At 43.4% G+C, this 22296-nt stretch overlaps 1 protein-coding gene and 1 pseudogene across 3 annotated transcripts in view, besides 4 other annotated features; both read left to right on the forward strand.

The window, feature by feature from the left end:
- Positions 2693-2792: a silencer, noted in NCBI's record as "silent region_17139". NCBI's record gives its function as "represses an Ori minimal core promoter by ATAC-STARR-seq in GM12878 lymphoblastoid cells {active_cell/tissue: GM12878}" and the evidence as "EXISTENCE:reporter gene assay evidence [ECO:0000049][PMID:35858748]".
- The window catches only part of RNF8 (ring finger protein 8), a 40752-nt gene continuing 21295 nt past the window's right edge, over positions 2840-22296 (forward strand). For 2 of the 3 annotated variants that reach the window (NM_003958.4, NM_183078.3), the window contains exons 1-4: positions 2840-3132; positions 9303-9431; positions 17341-18075; positions 20369-20431. In NM_003958.4, the coding sequence (NP_003949.1) occupies positions 3022-3132; positions 9303-9431; positions 17341-18075; positions 20369-20431 (1038 nt within the window). In that variant the 5' untranslated portion in view covers positions 2840-3021. Of the gene's footprint in view, positions 3133-9302; positions 9432-17234; positions 18076-20368; positions 20432-22296 lie in introns of all 3 variants that reach the window. The other variant, NR_046399.2, reaches the window with a different exon arrangement.
- Positions 3093-3142: an enhancer, noted in NCBI's record as "active region_24457". NCBI's record gives its function as "activates an Ori minimal core promoter by ATAC-STARR-seq in GM12878 lymphoblastoid cells {active_cell/tissue: GM12878}" and the evidence as "EXISTENCE:reporter gene assay evidence [ECO:0000049][PMID:35858748]".
- Positions 10042-10340, forward strand: RN7SL273P (RNA, 7SL, cytoplasmic 273, pseudogene; annotated as a pseudogene).
- Positions 16967-18166: an enhancer, noted in NCBI's record as "CDK7 strongly-dependent group 2 enhancer chr6:37335886-37337085 (GRCh37/hg19 assembly coordinates)". NCBI's record gives its function as "activates an origin of replication core promoter dependent on BRD2, BRD4, P300/CBP, MED14 and CDK7 cofactors, with strong dependence on CDK7, by STARR-seq in HCT116 cells {active_cell/tissue: HCT116}" and the evidence as "EXISTENCE:reporter gene assay evidence [ECO:0000049][PMID:35650434]".
- Positions 18770-19064: a silencer, noted in NCBI's record as "tiled region #7630; HepG2 Repressive DNase unmatched - State 5:Enh". NCBI's record gives its function as "represses a minimal TATA promoter and a strong SV40 promoter by Sharpr-MPRA in HepG2 cells {active_cell/tissue: HepG2}" and the evidence as "EXISTENCE:reporter gene assay evidence [ECO:0000049][PMID:27701403]".

The raw sequence follows: 22296 nt of genomic DNA on the forward strand, positions 1-22296 counted from the left end.
CCAGTCTAATCATGAGAAAAACATCAGACAAATCCCAGTTGAGGGACATTCTACAAAATATCTGTCTGGTACTCCTCAAATTGTCGAGGTCATCAAAAACAAGGAAAGTCTGAGAATCTATCACAGCCAAGAGGAGCCTAAGGAGACACACAGACTAAATGTCAGGGTGGCTTCTAGGTGTGCTTGCTGTTCCTGGGGTAGAATGCTAAGGTGGGGTGGGGGCACCAACAGATACCTATGCACAGCTTAGGGAAGCATCTCCATGAGTGCAGCTATGACTTTCACCAAAGTTCCTGGCCCTCTGTGATGTCAGGGCCTGCATTTCTTGATCTGACTGCACAACACAGATAAAATGTTCCAGGTTGGGATTGCACCCATGGTTAGGAAACTAGGCTTTTGAAACAGACTTGAATTGACATCCTACTCTGCCATTTCATTTGTTACTTTGGGAAGATTACCAAAACCTCTCTGTGCCTCTTTTCTCATCATCTCTAACATAGGGATTATAATTGTAACCACTAATAACTGGCTAATTTTTCTTTTTTCTTTCTGTTTGCAAAGGACAAATAAAGTATGTAGGGTGCTTCGCCTAGTACCTGGCACTTAGCACTCAGTAAATGTTAGCTATTTACTATTGTACACTGTGTAATTCATTTAGTGTATGTATTTTCTTTTCTTGTTGTTTTGTTTGTGTATTTGTTTTTGAGACAGAGTGTTGCTCAGTCACCCAGGCTAGAGTACAGTGGTGTGATCTCAGCTCACTGCAACTTCTGCCTCCCAGGCTCAAGGGATCCTCCCACCTCAGCCTCCCTGGTAGCTGGGATTACAGGTGCTCACCACCATGCCCAGATCATTTTTGTATTTTTACTAGAGACAGGGTTTCACCATGTTGGCCAGGCTGGTCTGGAACCCCTGACCTCAGGTGATCCACCTGCCTCGGCCTCCCAAAGTGCTGGGATTACAGGCGTGAGCCGCCACACTTGGCTGTGTGTGTGTTTTTTGTTTTTGTTTTTGTTTTTTTTGTTGTTGTTGTTTTGATGGAGTTTCACTCTTGTTGTCCAGGCTGGAGTGCAATGGCGAGATCTCGGCTCACCGCCACCTCTGCCTCCTGGGTTCAAGCGAGTCTCCTGGCTCAGCCTCCTGAGTGGCTGGGATTACAGGCACACGCCACCACGCTGGGCTAACTTTGTATTTTTAGTAGAGACGGTGTTTCTCCATGTTGGTCAGGCTGGTCTTGAACTCCCAACCTTAGGTGATCCGCCTGCCTCGGCCTCTCAAAAGTGCTGAGATTACAGGCATGAGCCACCATGCCCAGCCCGGCTGGTTTTTTGACAGAATTTTATTTAGGAAAATTGTTTTCCTTCTTTCCCCTTGTGCAAAAAAAAAAAAAAAAGAGAGGAAGAAGGGAGGAAGGAAGGAAGGAAGGAGAGAAAGAAAGAGAGAGAAAGAAGAAAAGAGAAAGAAAAAAGAAAAGAAAGAAAGAGAAGGAAGGAAGGAAAGAAAGAAGAAAGAAATTGTTAACTGGGTGTTGGAAAACTGAAAAGACAAAAGGGGCTCAACCATTGGATGTACTCACTGCAGGCAGCAGCTATCACACTATATGGAAAATCCAAAGGAGAGGCTGAGTTTAAAAACAATTTTTTAATTGGCCGGGCTCGGGGGCTCATGCTTGTAATCTCAGCACTTTGGGAGGCTGAGGCGGTTGGATCACTTGAATCCAGGAGACACGGCGAAACCCGGTATCTACCAAAAAATATAAAAATTAGCCGGGCGTGGTGGCGCGTGCCTGTAATCCCAGCTACTCTGGAGGCTGAGGCAGGAGAATCTCTTGAACCCGGGAGGCGGAGGTTGCAGTGAGCTGAGATCGCACCACTCCAGGCTGCACTCCAGCCTGGGTGACAGGGCGAGACCCTGTCTGTAATCAGTAATAATAATAATAAAATTAACAGCTTTATTGAGTATAATTTACATGCCATAAAATTCACCCACTGGAAGTTTACACTTTCTTCACTTTACAGGGTCTCACTCTGTCGCCCAGGCTGGGATGCAGTGGCGCCATGTCGGCTCACTGCAACCTCTGCCTCCCGGGGTCAGGTGATCCTCCCACCTCAGCCTCCCAAGTAGCCGGACTACAGGTGTGCACCACCACACCTAGCTAATTTTTCTTTTTTTTCTTTTTTCCTTTCTCTCCCTCCCTTCCTCCTTTTTTTTTTTTTTTTTTTGTAGATACGGTGTCTCCCCATGTGGCCAGGTTGGTCACAACTCCTGAACTCAAGTGATCCGCGCGTCTCGACCTCCCAAAGTGCTGGGATTACAGGCGTGAGCCACTGCGTCCGGCCACACTTCCATGACTTTTTAATAAACTTATACAGTTGTACAATTGTCACCACAATCCACTTTTAGAACATTTCTATTACCGCTTTCCTCCAATTTTTTCAAGCCCATCTGCATTCAATACCCGCTCCCACACCTCGCCCCAGGTAACTGTGCTCTTTGTCTTTGTAGATTTGCCTAGTGTAATTTATTTTTTACTTCGGTAATATAAGTAGGTCGTGCAAAATAGAGACTATTTAGCAACAGACTAGGCAGACTTAAATCCGATGGAAAGTTTAAAGTTGTTTAAAAGTGGGCTATAGTTTCACATGACTTTTTTAAAAAGAGGAAAGGTGAGAAGAGGTTCCAGTCTGGGGCGGCTAGGACTGGGGTGATGGTTCTGGAGGCGGCGAGGGAAGGTGTGAGGCGAGGAGACCTCTCGAATCGCGCCCGCCCCGCCCAGGGCCGGATTGGCTCCCAACCCACCCTCTTTGCTCCAGGGCGGCCGCCGTCCTCTTGCGCAGGCGTAGTGCTCCTGCTTCCTGGCCGAGGGCGGGCGAGCGGAGCCTGCTTTCGCAGCGATCGCGAGCGTGTGGCGATTGCTTCTGTCTGTTATTTAGATATGGAAGCTGAGGGGATGCACAGAGGCAGCCAGAACCTAGGTCAGGGTCTCGCTCGGTGCTGACCGCCCCCGGGGTCGAGTAGGCGATGGGGGAGCCCGGCTTCTTCGTCACAGGAGACCGCGCCGGTGGCCGGAGCTGGTGCCTGCGGCGGGTGGGGATGAGCGCCGGGTGGCTGCTGCTGGAAGATGGGTGCGAGGTACGGGGGAAGGGGTCCTGTGGAGCGGAGGGCAGGGGCTGGAGGGAGCGGGGCTCCGGGGAGGGAGGAAGGTGTCTTGCTGGGCTGAATGAATGGCAGAGAGGAGGCGGGCATCAGGAAGAGGAGCGAAGTGTCTGTGGGGGGGGTGGATTCCTGGGGAGAGAAGGGAGAAAGCGGTTCTGGCGCGAGCGGCTGAAGGGTCTGCGGTGGGAGGTGTTTGGGGGAGAAATAGGGGCCGAGTGGGAGAAAGGAAGAAAAGAGAGTTCGGCTCTGGGGAGCCCGGGGGGGCCACAAGGGTTGGGGCGAGGACGGAGGCCCTGACCCGCGGCCTGTGGGGCGAGAAGCGGGCCCCGTCCAGAGAGGCCTGGGTCAGCGGGTAGCTGGGCCGGGGACTGGGAGGAGAGGGACGCGCAGGGAACGTGAGGAGATGCGGGGGTGTCGAGGAGGGGAGGGCGGGGGCTGGCCAGATCCCGTTTAGGGCGCACAGAGCCCCGCGGTGCCAGGTCGGGGAACGGTGGCGGGGGCCGCGAGCTGCCGGGAAGCCGAGGCAGGGCCCGGCGCCTGAACTTTCTCGAGTTTGTTTTGAAAACGATTGCAAATTTTGGGTTTTGTCCCTTAAAGCAATCAAACTTTCACGTAGAAATGTCTTCCTCCTTCCCAACTCTGAGGAACATGGGCGGCTTGGGCTGGGCCACATTTCTCCTGTGAGGCTCGGTACGGCCGAGTGGCACTCCCTGAGGTGGGTCGGGCAGGTATTCAGAGTTCTCTCCAGAGGCTGCCTGTCGTCTTTATTAATGCAGTTGCAAATGAAAAATATTTTAAGGGGAAAGATGAGGTACCGTTCCTGGCACGGTTCAAGATGCACCAGCGTGGTGCATCTTGAAAAGACGAGGGAAGGGAGGAGGGAGTTAGATTGCAATCAGGTTGAGAAGGAGAACTGGGTCAGGGACAAGCTTGTGATGACTGGGAACCATTTGGGTTTTGGAAATAATCTGTATGAAAAGTTCTCTTTGCAGTAAAAGTGGATGGTTGGTCATGATGTAAATTCAAGAAGTATTTTGAGTCTCATGTGTGTTCAGGTAGATTTTTCCTATAAGCCGTACTGCCTCAATTCAGTCTGCCAGGTATTTACTGAGTATTTAACATTGTTTGGTGTACAATGAGGACAAATAAAATTTCTGCGCTCGAAGAGTTTAAGGCTTGAGTGGGGAGAGAGGATTTATACAATGAAGCAGTCATCGTATAAAGAACATCCATATGGGCTGTATGATCAAGTGCTAAGATTTGGATTATTTAGTTCCTTCCCAGAGCAGTAGTTCTTCAAGTCAGAGGAGGAATTCATGTCTAGGCACAAATTTAATTGCTAGATTAGGGAGTGTTATAAAGGGTTACTTGTATGCTGTGGTTTGAGGAACACCAAGAAAACATCTCTGCCTCCAAATACCTCTTCTATCCAGGTATTAGTGCCTAAAAGTCCACATTAAGCATTCATTCTTTTAGCTTGAGCACTGATCTTTCCCTGCCTGGCCCTTTCCAACAGCATATGTTTGTGGGAAGTTTAACAAATTAAAACACGAACACCTGAATAATAACCTGAATAATACACACAAAAATAAATTATTTTTGTGCATAACTATTAGTTAATTTCACATACATTACTTAATCTGATCCCTGCATACACACAACCTCATAAGATAACTCAGTGGGCAAGTGTTATTCCTTTAGATTCAATTGTTGTGGATTAATTTATGACTTCTGAATAGCTTGTCAGTACTGCAGTCTTGGGCAGGTGGGATGGGGAGGACGAATTAAAGCACCTGAAGAAAGGGCAAGAAGACTATAAAGCAGTCTTAGACATATTCTAAACCATTTGATAGTTCTTTATGGGGCCAGTTGCATGGGGAGGGACCCATATAAACTCAGTGGTAAGACTGTGGCTGGCTTCAGGGACCTGTGTGTAGGAGAAGCCTGCCAGGCTTGGCTGCCTGCAAGGTCAGGTCGTAGCATAGCCTGAAAAGAAGTCTGAATCAAAGGCAAGAGAAGAAGTTGTACTTATTGTTATGGTCCCCAAATCATAGCACAAGCTGTTTTGCACAAGATTTTAAAAGATACGCTAATAACATAACAGCAAAGGTAGGTCAGTTCCCTGCCTTTCCAGTTCTTAGTCTCAGATGTTGTGGATAAAATAATAAAACAGGGTTCCTTTCATTTCATTGATGGGAACACTGTAGTAAATTGTCTAATTAAGTGGCTTTAAGCTTGTTAAAGCAATGCATAGAGTTTGGTGGAAAAACAAGTAGAGATTTATTGCAAATTAGCTAGTTCTCAGGTACTATAAAGTATCTAGGCCTTTGGGGAAAACAACAGAACCTTCTCTCCCCTTTTCTTCTCTTGTATTTAGTTTTCATTAAGTTTTCTGCCCCAAGGGAAAAAAGGGAAAGGATGGTTATATTTACTGGTTTGGGGGCTTTTTTGTGGGGTGTTTTGTTTTGAGACAGAGTACTCCTTCTGTCACCCAGGCTGGAGTGCAGTGGTGTGATCACACCTTCACCTCCCTGGTTCAAGTGGTTCTTCTGTCTCAGCCTCCGAAGTAGCTGGGATTACAGATATGCACCACTATGCCCAGTTACTTTTTGTGTTTTCAATAGAGGTGGGGTTTCGCCATGTTGGCCAGGCTGGTCTCGAACTCCTGGCCTCATGTGATCCGCCCGCCTGGGCTTCCCAAAGTGCTGGAATTACAGGTGTGAGCCACCACACCTGGCCAGATTTACTTGTTATTTGAGAAACAGTAGGAATTGTGCCCAGGAGGAAAGAGATAGTCTTAGTGAAGGTGGGCAAAGACAGGATGATCTTTTAGATCAATAATGTGTGTAAGCTCAAAGGCTTGCAAAACTATTGTAAATGAAAACAACCCCTCACATATGGGTCGTCAGTCAGTTCCCACGGGAAATTCAGTGTTATGTTGAGTGGTCCTGAGATTTCCAGGTAACCTCACTGCACTCTTTAACTACAGTATAGGTGAAATATCAGTAGTACCAAGGTAAATTCTAAGACCAGGCAGTGCAGGGAAGGATGTAAAAGAATGATTCCTTTTTCTGGGTTCAGAGTCTGTTGGAGGCAATGTCAGGAAAAGGCACTCTTCTACTGTTTTGGTACTGTTTTCCCCTGGCTACTCACAATGGCAGTCTGGCTGTCTCCCCTCAAGTATTAGCATGTAATATGAGATGCTTCCTCTCTTAGAGATAAAGCTACCTAAATAGAAATTTTACTGAATATGGACGACAGATAAATCCCTAGCCATTCCATTTTTAACAGATATGTGTATTCAGAGGAACTTCTATAATTAATATAATTCTGGCAGAGTGTGAAAGAACTGAAAAACTTTGTGCTCAGTGTTGGTGGAGTGATCACCACAACATTTTAAAGAGAAACAAGTGAGACTGTATGAGTTCCAACTGCTGCTCCATATTTTCCAATGGTAATACAGTCTCTAACTTCTGACCTAAAAACACCCACCCTAAAATCTTGAGGACTCATATGCAAGACCTCTTTATTCTTTCATTCATTCTCAAATACTTAACTGAACACTATGCCAGGTATAGAAACACAGTGGTAAACAAGACAGATAAAGTCCCTGCTTATCTAATTTATATTCTATTACGGGGACAGAGGGGAAAAGTAAAATAAACAAGATAATTTTGGTCTGTGATAAGTACTTCCTAATAACTGAAGAAATATGATGGGAAGCAGACAACCAACTTTAGACAGAGGTAATCAGAGTAGGCTTATGAGTAGCTGGAACATGAAAGATAAGGAGCCTGTGCAAGATCTGAGAGAAGAGTGTTCTTAGCAGAGGGGCTAAGTGAAAAGACCCTCAGGTAGGCTGGCACTTCGGGGAGATGGGCTTAAGGAACAACAACAACAAAAAAGTTTGAGGGGCTGGAGCAGCTAGTGTTGGCACTATGGTATGAGTTAAGACTAAAGAGTAGAAGGGCTCAGGACATTCAGGGTCTTATAGGCCATGGAAGGAAGTTTGAATGATTGGACAGTTTTAAGGAAAGAAGGAAAATGACCTGATTTAAAATTTTTACATTTCTATTCCAGTTACTATTATAAAGCTTATGGGGGCTAGAGTGAGAACAGAAACAGTAGGAGGCCAGGTGGTTTGGACTAAGGCTGTGGCTGCAGAGATAGGAATGAACAGACTTAGGACATATTTGAATTATAGCCCATATAATTTACCAGTGATTTCAATGTGGGGATGAGGGACAGAGATGAATCAAAGATGGCTTCTGGGTTATGGGTTGAGTAGTTGGTTGGATAGTATTGTGAATACTGAGATAAGAGTTTGTGGGGAGGAATAGATTAGGTCAGTGAGTCGTGGTGGTCTTTGAGGGACTGAGGAGGACAGGCATTCTGAAAGATTTTAAAGAGAAGAGAAGAGGGCAGTTTTAGCTAACTTTGGTTTAAAGTTCCCAGTTAAGGTTGTGATATGGGACATTAAAGAGGTCGTTTGTGCACTAAGAAGAATATGCAGGGAGCCGGGCGCGGTGGCTCACACCTGTAATCCCAGCACTGTGGGAGGCTGAGGCAGGCAGATCACTTGAGATCAGGAGTTCGAGACCAGCCTGACCAACATGGTGAAACCCCGTCTCTACTAAAAATACAAAAATTAGTTGGGTGTGGTGGTGCGTGCCTGTAATCCCAGCTACGTGGAAGCTGAGGCAGGAGAATTGCTTGAACCCGGGAGGCAGAGGTTGCAGTGAGCTAAGATCGTGCCACTGCACTCCAGCCTGGGTGATAAAGCAAGACTCTCTCAAAAAAACAAAAAAAAATTAACAAACAAAAAAGAATAAGGGAATTCTGTGATCTGGAACTCAGAAGAATTTCATTTCCTTCCTTCACAGGGTTGTTATGAACTAGACTGGTCCAACAGGAAAGTATGATAGATGTGAACTGGGGCTTCTTTTCAACCTTTTCCGGAAGCTCTCAAGCTGTTCTTGTGGATAAGACAGAGAATATGTACTCCAATGCAAAGACTTTTGGTTGAATTATAACTGGCTGAAGGTATATCCAGATGGTGTGGGTTAATGTTTACTAGGTTTTCCTGAAAACTTTGCCTTTGGCTGCATCCCATTCTGTGTCTTGAACGAAGGTATAGAAGGCATCATCTCATAAATTTGGTGGAAGAGATATTAAGTATGTCTGATCTGATGGCAGATTAAAAATTCAGAAAGGTCTTGACAAATTGGTTTGATAGGCTGAACTAGCAAGATGAAATTTAATAGGAATCAATCTAAGGTCCTGCGCTTGAATCCAAGGTTTTCCATCCAGTCAAGTATAGAGCAGAAGAGACAGGACTTAGGATAGCATTTCTTGGAGGAGGGGGAGACCAAGAAATTTAATCATTCCTAAGTTCGAGGATACACTGGCAGTGTACTAGATCTGCTATGAAAGCTAATGCAATTTATATGCTCCAGTGATAATATCTAGAACTGGGAAAGTAACACTTGCGTTTGACTGTGTAATAGAAATTAAGTTTATTTTTCTTAATATGCCATCCAGGAATAAAGATAAACCAGCAGTCCCTTCACAGACTCATTAGAATGGCAAAGGCTCAAGCCCATCCCCTGGGAGTTAAGTTGAAGTAACTGGGAATACAGAACCAGGAAAAGAGAAAACTCAGTGTTCACTTTATATCTGTGCCATTGAAAGGGGATTGGAGATTTCCCGATGGTGCCCAGGGCAAAGCCAGGGCCAATGGATGGAATTTACAAGGAGAAAAATGCCAAGTCAGAGACATTTTAAAAATTGGAGGGCCTGCCTTATGTAAAGTTACTGACAGTATTTATGCGTTGATGGGATGTGTAGAAAGAATTCCTCTATCTCATAGTCATTGAACCAGATGACCTTTCAAGATCTTGGCAACCCTGAGATACATGGATAACTCTTTTTCAGCTTTCTCTTGTTGTCACAACCGTTTGCCTTTTTCTACTTGGTGGTTCTCAAGACAGCTGAAGAGGAGATAGCTGATGCACTGTTTTGGTTCCACAGGTGTCTGGTTTCTTAAGTCAGGACCTGCATATGCTGCTGGTTGATGAGATTTGTAAAGGACCTCCCTTTTCAGCACAATGACTGATGGTATTTCTTGCATTGTTGTTGTCTCCCAGGTGACTGTAGGACGAGGATTTGGTGTCACATACCAACTGGTATCAAAAATCTGCCCCCTGATGATTTCTCGAAACCACTGTGTTTTGAAGCAGAATCCTGAGGGCCAATGGACAATTATGGACAACAAGGTACAGGAATTCACAGAAGCCTAATGACTTTTATTTGTTTTTAAATTACTTTTTTTTTTTTTTGCATAGGTAATTCATGGTATAAAATTCAAAAGTATAACTTCTTCTTTCCTAGCCATCCAGTTCCCTTTTCCAGAGGCAGCCACTTCCATATGCTGCCAGAGATTCGATTATGCTAAAATAATTTCTCTTGATTTGGGTTAAAGTTTGTTAACTTGAAGAGAATACCTGAATTGGGGTAGTAGGTCCTATTCCAGAAACTAGACTAAGTTACTGGGCAAATAAGCCTGTTTGAGGTGAAGCTCCCAGAGACCCTGGGAATCTGCAGAATCTGCTGACGCTTCTGGAGTACACTTATGGCTCAGTGGACAAGGGGAGGAGGGAGAAACTGATCTGATTGCGCTTAGCTCCTTTCCTTCCTCACTCCTTTCAATCTGAGCAACCTCCCCTGGCCTTTAAAACATGTTTTAAATATTGGTGTTCCGAAGATTTCCTTTGAATAATGGGTTTTTCTCCTTTAAACAAATTTGAAAACCACTAGTTTAGTGGTAAATATATTGAGGGAGGTGCAATAGTATATGAAGCCCAGCAATTAGAAAGTACCTAATGTGCTGGGTGTGGTGGCACATGCCTGTAGTCCCAACTACTGGAGAAGCTGAGGCCAGAGGATTGTTTGAGCCCATGAATTCTGGGTTATAGTGTGCTATGCCATTCTGGTGTCTGCCTTAAGTTCGGCATCAATATGGTGTCCTCCTGGGAGCAGGGGACCACCAGTTTGTCTAAGGAGAGGTGAACTGACCCAGGTTGGAAGGAGGGCAGGTCAAAACTGCTGTGCTCATCAACAAAGGGATTGCACCTGTGAATAGCCACTGCACTCCAGTGTGGCTGACATAGTGAAGCCCTGTCGCTATCAAAAAGAAAAGAAGATACCTAAAGTGCAGATATACAAGCACCGAGGAATGTGATGAAAATACAGACTATGAGGTGAGAGAAATTCTAACATAAACAGTTAATGTTTAGGAAGTATAACATGTCTTTAAGTGCCATTTCATATTGCTTCACTGCCCCAGTTAGGATTTTAAAGGTACCATTAGAAGGGAGGGTATCCCACAGGTCTGCCTGCCATCCTCATATTGCGTGCATAAAACTGCTAGATTTAAGCTGTTGGAAAGTATCTTCCTGCTCTAGAATTAAGTTGAGTTGGCACTGTATTGAAGGAGACAGTACATAAATGCTAAGTAAATCAGTTCAGCACTTTTAGCAAGGCACCATGAGCAGGATAAAAATTGGCACTGAGATTATCTACTTTAACCCCTTATGTAGACAGATGAATCTGAGGCCCAGAGAGATAAACTGTCTTGCCCAAAGCCTTCTCTATAATGAGCCAGGACTTAAGTTTCTCTGCTATGCCCTGTGTCAAGTATCAGTAAAGTATGTAAGCAATTTGCTATACTGGCTTTATGACGTCAAACAATTAATTATGCATATTTAAAATATAGCTGCAAGGTTTTAAAGCCTCTGTAATAGCGTATATCAAAACAGCTTAGGAAAAGATGTTTTCCTCATCAGAGTAGGCTGTATGAGAGTTAGGATTACAATATTATAGAGGTGAGTTCTCTGCTGCTGCTTTTCTTAATTATGTGCAGTGTAGATGTGATCCACTTATGGGATTAGCAGATTTTCATAGGTTGGGAAGCCAACAGCTGATCAACTTCAGTGTTATTTGAATTTCAACCACAGGGATACAGAGGCAGCCTGTGCAAGATCAGATCATGACTGTGCTCCGGGCTCACTCTCCAGTGTTTGCTTTGTACCCTTCCTTCTAGGGTTGCTGTTATCATATGATTCTTCTCAGGTCTCAGTCAGGCAATAGAGAGGAAAGATAGGTTTCTTAACAACCTGTTTAAACTTTTTAGCTGTGATTGTTTGTGAGATAACTGATTTAATTTTAAGAGAAGCTAGGACTGGGGTGTTTTGATGGAACAATTCTTACAAGTAAATCCCCCCTGCCCCCTGCACTTTTCTTTTGACTACAGATGCCCCCTTTCTGGCTTCCTCCTGGCATGATGCCATGGCAGCCCTCTTCTGCTGATAAGAGACCTGAATTTCAGCTGTAGGGTATTATTGCTGTGGTTGTGTTTGAAGTCATTTGCCAAATCTTTTTCAAGAGATAGGTGTTTCTAACAAGTTAAAAACTCAGAGCTGCATTCTCTTATCTGCTGGAATGGCCAGAAAGTGAGAGCTTAAGTATAGATACAAAAATTGCAAGAAATGTTATTTTGGTTTAAAATTGGCTTAAAATATAGAAAAAAACCTTGGAGGACAGCTAAGTCTGCACACAGTATGAGGATGGTTCTAGTTGTGTAGGTTTTGGTCAATTCATAAGCTTTTCAGATGGCCCGTCCTTTGTATTGGTATCCAGCTCTTTCAGAAAATTGGTTGTTTTAAAGTCACAGTATGAAATGCCTTAGAGGTTCAGTCACGTCTTACTTGAGCCTTTCCCATTCTTACCCTCCTCTCCTGTTGCTTTTCACCTGCTGCCTGGTGATTCCTACCTTTGTTCTTCTGCAGACTCTGGCATTTGAAGTCCCTGTTGAGTGTACTCTTACGTGAACAAAGTTTGCTGTTTGGGACAGTTCAGCTTCTGGTCCTCCAGCAACTAGAGCAGTGGTTATCAACCCTGTTTCCAGTTTTTACTCTCACCTGGGGCACTTTTTAAAAATACTGATGGTAGTACAATAAAAGCGTTCATTCGTCAAAAAACACCATTAAGAGAGTAAAAGGCAAACTCAGAGGAAGATGTTTGCTACACATTATAGTCAATGAAGGGTTTATACTGAGGTATCTGCAGAACTCCAATAAGAAAAAGACAGATATGCCCTATTTAAAAATGAGCAAGAGACAAGCACTTCACAAAAGGTTCTATCCAATGAAAAGTTGTTCAACCTCATTAATAATCTGGGGAATTTAAATTAAAACCATAATGGAATACCTCTACACATTCACCAGAGTGGCTAAAATTGAAGACTAGTGATGCCAGGTATTGGTAAGGATATGGAGTGATAGAATGTTCTTACCCTTCTGTTGGGAGTGTAAATTGGTACAATTTGGGAAATTATTTGGCATTATTCATTAAAGTTGAACATACATATAGCTCTTGACACAGTATTTTCACTCCCCGGGAAACAGCCCAAATGTCCATCAACAGTAGAATGGATAAATTGTGGAATAATCTTATATTGAAACACTATACTATAGTGAATATGAATGAACTACTATATCTAATAACATGGATAAACCTCACATAATATTGAGTGAAAGAAGGCTGGGCGCTGTGGCTCACGCCTGTAATCCCAGCACTTTGGGAGGCCGAGGCGGGCGGATCACGAGGTCAGGAGATCGAGACCATCCTGGCTAACATGGTGAAACCCCGTCTCTACTAAAAATATAAAAAATTAGCCAGGCGTGGTGGCGGGTGCCTGTGGTCCCAGCTGCTCTGGAAGCTGAGGCAGGAGAATGGCATGAACCTGGGAGGCGGAGCTTGCAGTGAGCCGAGATCAGGCCATTGCACTCCAGCCTGGGGGACAGAGCGAGACTCTGTCTCAAAAAAAAAAAAAAAAAAAAATTGAGTGAAAGAAGACAGACACAAAAGAATACATATTATATGATGCCATTTATACAATGTTTAAAACCAGGCAAAATTTACATGTGCTGTTAAATCTGGATAGTAGTCACTTTATTGCCAAGGTGGCTACTGACTAGAAGGAGACACACAGGGGTTTCTGGGATGCTGATAATGTGGGGTTTGTTTTGTTTTTGACCTTATGGTAGTTACACTAAGATGTTCATTTTGTGACTGTTCATCGAGTTGGTACATTTATGATTTGTGCACGTTTATGTTTGCATGTTCCGCTTTAGTAAAGACTTTAAAAAATATATTGACGGATACATACTTAATACAATTGCTGAAATAAGACTTGATGATACCAAGTGCTGGCAAGCATGCAGAATAACTGGAACTCCTCAACATTCAAGTGTGAATATAAAATGGTACCTCCACTTTGAAAAACTGGTGGTTTCTAAGAGTCAAATATATACTTGTCCAGTGATCCTATTTCTAGGTATTTACCCAAGATTAATGAAAGCTTATGTTCTCGCAGAAACTTGTATGTGAATGTTTCTAGTGGCTTTATTTTTTTTGTTTTTATATTTTGAGATGGAGTTTCGCTCTTTTTGCCCAGGCTGGAGTGCAATGGCGTGAACCCGGCTCCCCAAACCTCTGCCTCCCGGGTTCAAGTGATTTTCCTGCCTCAGCCTCCCGAGTAGCTGGGATTACAGGCATGCGGCACCACGCCTGGCTAATTTTTGTCTTTTTAGTAGAGGTGGGTTTCACCATGTTGGCCAGGCTGGTCTTGAACTCCTAACCTCAGCTGATCCACCTGCCTCGGCTTCCCAAAGTGTTAGGATTACAGGCGTGAGCCACCACACCTGGCCTGTAGTGGCTTTATTAATATTCACCAAAAACTGGGAAAAAAAACAACTAGGGAATGGATAAACTGTGCTCCACCCCTACTACCTTCAATATTACTCAGCAATAAAATATAACAAACTGCCGATAATGCAACAGTGTGGACGAATCTCAGAGGCGTTACACTAAGTGAAAGAAGCAAGACTCAAAAGTGTAGATAATAAGATTCCATTTGTATTACATTCTGGGAAAGAGAAGAGAACAGATAAGTAGTTGCCTGGGAATGCGGGAAAGGTTGACTACCAAGGGGCACTGTTTCTTGATATAGTTACACAACTATATGTGTTTATAGATAAATGTAACTTTTAAAATACTGATACTTAGTTCCTATCTCAGACCACTTAACTCACTCCGAGGGTGAAACCTAGGCACTGCTCTTTGTTTTAAACCTTCCCAGGTAGTTTTACTGTATAGCCAGGGTTGAGAACCACTGAGCTACGTAAATTATCTAAAGCACTCCAAGAAAACATTGTCTTTTGGTTTGAGTGTCCACTTTCCTCAATAACTGTTTAAAAGCAGCTGGACAGAGATTGAGCATCTAGTGAAGTAATTCCTGTCTAAGTGGATGTGAATTATCCCACTTTTTTCCCATTGGTGGCTAGGACACATCAGGCAGACTTTTCTGGGTATCATTTTCTGCTGCTAGCATTGTTCAAATGGGTAGTTATGAAAACCAACATTAAGAAAGCCTTGAACAGAGCATGATTATTTAAGCCATTGTATTTGAGATCATATCTGGCAGTACTTGATTGTTCTGTACCGCCATGGGATTTTTGTCCTTTTCTAGTCTCCTTATATGAACAGACCTGACTCAGGGCTTGGTTTAAATTATACCACTAGATGTCACCAAGAAGTAATGAATGGGTAAATGTACAAGGATCCAAGGACAAAATGTGATGGGAGAATTTTGAGTTTACCTTCCAGCTTCTAAAAGGGCTCTGAAGGCAATGGGTTAATGTAGAGGATCTAATGGAAGGCTGCAACATATCGTGAAAGTTTGCCCCAGCTTCTGAGGGCAAACTTACTCTCTTTAGCTGTGGACTGTCAGAACTCAGAAGTTCTGAGGGCAAACTTCCTACTCTCTTTAGCTGTGGGCTGTTTCTGTAATCTTATTTATTTATTTTACCTTATCTTAGCTTTGGAGACTTCCTTTAAATTTCTGTACCTTGGCATTAGGTGGCCTTCTGTGTCTTACTACTTTTTCTGAGACCTTTTTCCTGTGTATAATCTAAAATCGACTGTCCTGCTCTAAAATTGTTCTCAGATAGATTGTTCTAGCTCCATCCCTCTCTGTTGTTATTTCTCATATGTTGTTTCAAAATTCAGCAAACCTTATCACTCCCCATAGTTTCTCAGGCTGAATAGAAAGAGTGTGAGGAGGTTTCCTAGATGAACCAGGTTAGGCCCAATGCACAGTGGGTTAAGACTAATATTTCTGTATGTATCTATGCCAGTCTTTCTTTCCGTGTAAACCAAGTAATGGAAGATAAAACTGGAAACAAGGGCCTAATGCCAAACCAGAGCTAAGATCTGATCTCTACTTTCCCTTTACCCTCTGTGCCTTGTGGTCAAGCCCCCTGTCCCTCATATTTGGGTTGACTGGAGATTTTTTTCTAGCTGAAAGTAGGTAGCTGTAGTTGCCAGTGTAAACATAAATCTTGGTCCCAATTCAGAAGTGAGCTTCATCTCTGGCCTATCCCCTGAACTTAAGTCCTTGATACGGGTTAAAATGCTCACCAGTATATTTCAACTCTGAATCTTGCCTTTGTTTCAAGTCTATTTTAGGACCTATCATCTCCATTTAGCATCCCATAGCTATCCCAGCTGCACATGATATTCCTTTGCATTTACAGGCTATGCCATGTAATCCCACATTTGCTCATTTGTGCCCTTGTGTTGTCTTTTCCACCATCAGCTGCTGAAAGCTTTCATGTCCTTTTCACTCAATATATTTACCTTGCGTGACATTGAGCATAGAGTTGAAATGATTGTTGATGAATCAGTTGAACCAAGGCATAGTAATAGTAGTGAACACTTACGTAATACGATGCCCAGGCACTGTCTAAATACTTGCCATATGTTATCTCATTAAATCCACACAGACACCATGAGGGAGAGACTTATTTTCCTCCATTTTATCAGTGCAGTAACTGGGCCATAAAGAGGTCAAGAAACCTGGCCAACATCACCCAGCTGCTAAATGATAGAGCCACATTACAAACCCAGGCAGTCTGACTCCAGGATCTGTGCTCTTAACCTCAATACTATGACTTCATTAAAACCATAAAAGTAAATTTTTATTTTATTTTATTTATTTTGGAGACAGAGTCTCGCTCTGTCACCCAGGCTGGAGTGCAGTGATGCAATCTTGGCTCACGGCATCCTCTGCCGCCTGGGTTCTAGTAATTCTCATGCCTTGGCCTCCCAAGTAGCTGGGATTACAGGCACCCACCACCACACCTGGCTAATTTTTGTATTTTTAGTAGAGAGGTGGTCTCACTGTGTTGGCCAGGGTGGTCTTGAACTCCTGGCCTCAAGTGATCCGCACACCTCGGCCTCTCAAAGTGCTGAGATTACAGATGTAAGCTGCCACTCCCAGACAGTAAATATTTATTAAGCATTTATTCTATGTGAGTCATTGTGCTAAGTGATTTACATGCATTATCTTATTCATTCCTCACTGGAACAGTGTGAGGTAGGTACTGTACCATCCCTGTTCTGCAGACAAAACTGAGGCATGGAGAGGTTAAGTAAATTGCCAAATGCTATGCAGACTATGAACCCACATCTGAGTCCAGAGCTCCAGCTCTTAACCGCTATCCTGTATTGCCCATATACCCCTGTTGATATTAATTGGGTCAGATCCTACCTGCCATTTGACCCCAGTACCAGATATAGTACTCTCTTTTTTTTGGTTTATGTGTGCTTGCTTGCTTACCAGTGCGTTAAGGAACCACATCCAGAGATAGCATTTGAAACTACTTCATGGACCTCACCCTTAGCTACTGCTTTCTTCACTAATAGCATTTTTTCTAGTTTTGGGACATTGCTCCAGTTTAGGTTAATAGGAGCTATCCAATTTCAGTTTCCTTTAATGCTATTCCATGTGTTTGAGTAAATTATCCACCAATAATAAGGTGATTCCTGCCTGTTATATGGCAGTTCTCTGTGGAGGCATGAATGTGAAATATAGGTAAAAAGCCAAAGCACTGCTTGACGAATGCTGTTTCTAAGGATGGTCGTTTATGAATCTTTCTTTTCTATTTGTTATCAAGAGTTTTCCTTCTGAAAAGGCAGAAGATTTTACAGCAGCAGGAGAGAGATTCCTTTAAGAAGACGAAAATCATGAAGCTTATTTCTTCTTTCTTTCACTTTCCCCAGAGTCTAAATGGTGTTTGGCTGAACAGAGCGCGTCTGGAACCTTTAAGGGTCTATTCCATTCATCAGGGAGACTACATCCAACTTGGAGTGCCTCTGGAAAATAAGGAGAATGCGGAGTATGAATATGAAGTTACTGAAGAAGACTGGGAGACAATATATCCTTGTCTTTCCCCAAAGAATGACCAAATGATAGAAAAAAATAAGGAATTGAGAACTAAAAGGAAATTCAGTTTGGATGAATTAGCAGGTCCTGGAGCTGAAGGCCCCTCAAATTTGAAATCCAAAATAAATAAAGTGTCTTGTGAATCTGGTCAGCCAGTGAAATCACAGGGGAAAGGTGAAGTGGCCAGTACACCCTCTGACAATTTGGATCCTAAGTTGACTGCCCTTGAGCCAAGTAAGACCACAGGGGCTCCCATTTACCCTGGCTTCCCCAAAGTCACAGAGGTTCATCATGAGCAGAAAGCCTCAAACTCTTCAGCATCTCAGAGAAGCTTACAGATGTTTAAGGTGACCATGTCCAGGATTCTGAGGCTCAAAATACAGATGCAGGAAAAACATGAAGCCGTTATGAATGTGAAAAAGCAGACCCAAAAGGGGAACTCAAAGAAAGTTGTGCAAATGGAGCAGGAACTTCAGGACTTACAGTCCCAGCTGTGTGCAGAGCAGGCTCAGCAGCAGGCAAGAGTGGAGCAACTAGAGAAGACTTTCCAGGAAGAGGAACAGCATCTTCAGGTACCACACAGAAGGGAAGGGCAAGAGTGGTCTTCAGGGGTGGGGCAGGCACTTCATGAGTCTCTGGCCAGAGTTCTCAGTTTCTGGGCCAGGTACCAAATTCTGAGCACCAAAGACAGGAAATGGAATGGGAACAGTAAACTTTTGAGATAAGGGAAGGGGATTGAGTAGAGGGTTAAGGCTTCAGCATGCTGATGAGATCAGGAGCCAGAGTTAGAGTGCCAAGATAGGGTAAAGTGACCAGCAGAGCCAGCCAGGGCATAACTCATCCCAGGAGGCAAAGCTGAGGCAACTCAGAACCAACATGAATTCAGGGGGAAGTTAGGTGAAGGTCAACATGCCACAAAACCACAGTATAGTCCAATTGAATCAATAGTTGTCTTCAAGACTTGTGTATCTTTGCTCTGTGGCCAAGGCCAAATCACTTAGTCTCAGGGCAGGTACAGGTCAGCTGGTTCCTCTGCCCTGGTACCTGACAGTTTGTTAGCTATAAAGGTTAGTTAACTCTGTAGCTAAGCCAGGAGGTGAGGGGCTAAAAAGGCAGAAAATGTTTTTGTTTCTATTTTGAGCAGCCAGCATGTGATGGGACAGATGCACCATGACTGCATTGTTGGGTTGAATGATAAACCACCTTCCACAGTGCCTATAGTAGGAAGGTAAAATAATGACTGTCTTAGCTGTATAAAGGTAAGACCAAATGTATTTCCATCCCTCAGTCATTTGCTTAGATGACAAGCTCTTGCACAAAGCTTTAGGCTAGAGCAGATCCTGTCCCTGCTCAAAATGTCATTTCCTATCTGGCAGGAACCACATATTTTGCTCCCACCCAGTTGCTCAGATAATATTGAATGTCAAGAATTCCCCATTGTTGACTTAGAACTCAGACGGACCAGTCACAACTAAAGTGAATAAGCTTTTTGTTTGGGTTGCTCAGGGTAAGGAACAGCCAGGGGTAGTGTTGGCTTATTTCTGAGCAATTTATAAATTTCATTCTGATCTCTGCCATCCCCTTGAACTGACAGTATTAGCAAAGGCCATGGATTAAATAGGTCTTTTGAGAGTATACACTGCTTACTTATGTGTACCTTTTTGCTTCCCTTATCCAGCCTAGACTAGTTCTTGAAATTAATAGAGGGTGGTTTATGTCTACGTGTTTAGTATATCACACCTTCACCAGGACAGAACTCTCTGTAAAGGCTAATATGTTCAGGAACAAGTTACTGTTGCTTAATATTTGTGGCTGCTCTGGACATGCCTCAAGGTATAGCTGCAAAATCTTTTTCTGTACCAAAATGTTAAAGGCGAAAGGATTGGTTTAGAGAATTTCTCTGGGTATGAGTTGGTTGTGTATATGATGCTCATAGTGAAGTGTATCTAGTCCCTTGTTTATCAGCTGCATCTCCCTCTGCCCACCAAGCCCTGAGGATTTATCCTATCCCCTACTGCTGGTTTAGAAGCTCATTAAACCCTTGCTCCTTCACACTTTTTTTTTTTTTTTAAGTACTCAAATTGCCTGGTACTAGGGAATTCTAGTGGTTATAAAGATGCTTACCAAATGGTTTTTGCCATTAAGGAATTTATCTTGTTGAGGAGGCAAGATGTTTCCTGCACACGATATAATCAGAGAATAGTTTTCAGTCAATATAGTAAATTAGAGAACAATTTCAAGTTGGCATATTAAATGGGTAGGTAATTCTTAAGGACAGAAGGGCCCAGAAGTTCTTTTGGAAGGTGCTGGACATATAGGTTAATGATCACCTGGAAAGCTTCCACATTGGAGGGGGCTGATGAGGAAATACAGCATAAGCTCAGGCAAGGAGAGAGGAGGAGCAGAGGAGCAGTGTATAAACTGAAGTGGTAAAGACTCAGAATGAGAGACAAGATGGCCAGAGTAGAGGGAAAAGAAGCATGCTAGATGTTGTGAGTGCCAGCACTGGGAATTACATCTGAGTTTAGGTATTTGGGGGCTCAGAAGTTCTCAGTTTACATCCTTTTGGGAATCATGGCGTTAGTCCATGAAGGAGGCTTGGACTGTTAGGCCATAGTATTTCCAGAACAACCCAATTGGTGGCTTAAAGCCGACAGTCCTGAAGTGTGCAGTATTTGAGCAGATAACTGCTCAAATTCTTTACTGCCAACAGCTTGAAGTAAAACAGGAGATTTTCCACCTGCTCCCTCACCCCTGTTGTTTCCAGATGCTCATACTAGCTGGTCTGCTCTGCTTGTTGCTGGATTGTGTTCCTTTTTTTCTTTTCCCTGCAGAGAAACCTTCCATTTTGTTTTGGCTTTGCAGGGTTTGGAGATAGCCCAAGGAGAAAAGGACCTGAAGCAACAGCTGGCCCAGGCTCTGCAGGAGGTAACTTTGCCATAGTACTAAGATTATAGTGGGCTGTGGAGTGGGGAGCAAACAGGCATCACATGACCACTGGCTGCCTCTGCTGCTTAGCCCATACCTCTGTGGCATCCCCAGTCTGTAAACAGAGCAGGTGGCAGCTGCTCACACCATCAGATCAGAGATTTGGAGCCTTACAAACATGCCAGACCTCAGCATGAAAACTTACATCTTTGTCTGAGCAGAAGTTGCTCTGGTGAAGATGGAATGGAGCTTTAGCAGTTAAGAGGCTCTCTGGGGAAGTGGCTCCACTTCTAGAAAGGTGAGGGCAGCAGAGGGAAAATGTGAGGTATGACTTGGCCACCAGGGCCCGTGAAGGCCTCTGTTACCGCAATGTTCCTGAGCTGTAGCCAACCAGAAACAATTGGGGAATGTTCCAGTTAAGCATTTTAGGCCAGGTTGAGAATGTGCAGTTTAACAATCAACAACACATATCAATTTATTGAAAAGGTAAAGCTCAACAGGACTAAAATTCTCCTAAAAGATTGCCTGTAATTTATTTAATTTAACCTGACTACTCTCATTTGATTATTTTTTTGTGTGCTCTTTTGCATCTTTAAAACCTACTATGTCTTCTACCTTTTATGTATTATGATTAGTAGTTTAGTGCCATTTAGTCAGGATGGTTCAAATCTCATTGGAAAGAGTGAGCAAATCACATAGGAATTTGTTCAGGGGAATTTATCCTTTTATCGTAAACCTACTTCCCAACCTTAACAGTGCTAACAGTCATACAGTATTGTAAGCATGACAGGGTGCCTGCCTTGATCTCCTTGAGGGTTGCACAAACAGCTTTGGAAAGAATTAGATGAAAATTAATTCAATCTTTTTAGAATTTTATTTTTTGAGCTTGTTTATTTTCTAGGGTGGGAGAGTAGGCATGTTTCCCATTTGGAACATTATTAAGTTAATATTCAGACATTGTTTTGAAATTGAAAAAGAATGTGGTTCTGCTAGTTGGAAATCCCTGAGGGATCACTGAGTACCCTGCACCCTCTCCTGAGACAGGAAAACACTCTATCATTTTGCATGGGATACTTGGCCATGCATTTATTAGCTTAAAATGTGATACTTTTAGACCGGGCACGGTGGCTCACGCCTGTAATCCCGGCACTTTGGGAGGCCCAGGCAGGCGGATCACCAGAGGTAGGGAGTTCAAGACCAGCCTGACCAACATGGAGAAACCCTGTCTCTACTAAAAATACAAAATTAGCCGGGCGTGGTGGCGCATGCCTGTAATCCCAGCTATTCAGGAGGCTGAGGCAGGAGAATCGCTTGAACCCGGGATGTGGAGGTTGTAGTGAGCTGAGATCGTGCCATTGCTCTCCAGCCTGGGCAACAAGACTCCGTCTCAAAAAAAAGTGATACTTTTAGGTCATGGTTCTATACCATCATGCCTGGGGGACATGCCACTCTCATGCAGTGGTGGTTTTTTGTTCCACCATGCTGATACTTTTGAAAGCTGTTCTTTACCAGACCATTATAAAAACTGTTTTTATAATGGTCTTTTATAACTGATTTCCTGTTTAAATCACATAATACCTTCCTCTCCAATCTCCAAGAAACTACCACATCTTTTTAAACCGAGTGATTCATAAGTTCTCAGGGAATTTGACTATAGTTAGAAATGGGTCCAGACCTTCACTGCCCTAAGCAGTCTGCCAGTCTTTGCTTTGAGTGGAAAAGAAAATAAAAAGATGTGTTTATATACAGCTCAAAAAACTTCTCTGAATGCTTTTCATACCTGTTATTTTCTTATGAACACTGAGGGAGGAGGGGGCACCTATTTTCCCATTTCCTTTTATTTTTATTTTGAGACAGTGTCTCGT

This window comes from Homo sapiens, chromosome 6, assembly GCF_000001405.40.
Source record: "Homo sapiens chromosome 6, GRCh38.p14 Primary Assembly".
Classification (NCBI taxonomy): Eukaryota; Metazoa; Chordata; class Mammalia; order Primates; family Hominidae; genus Homo; species Homo sapiens.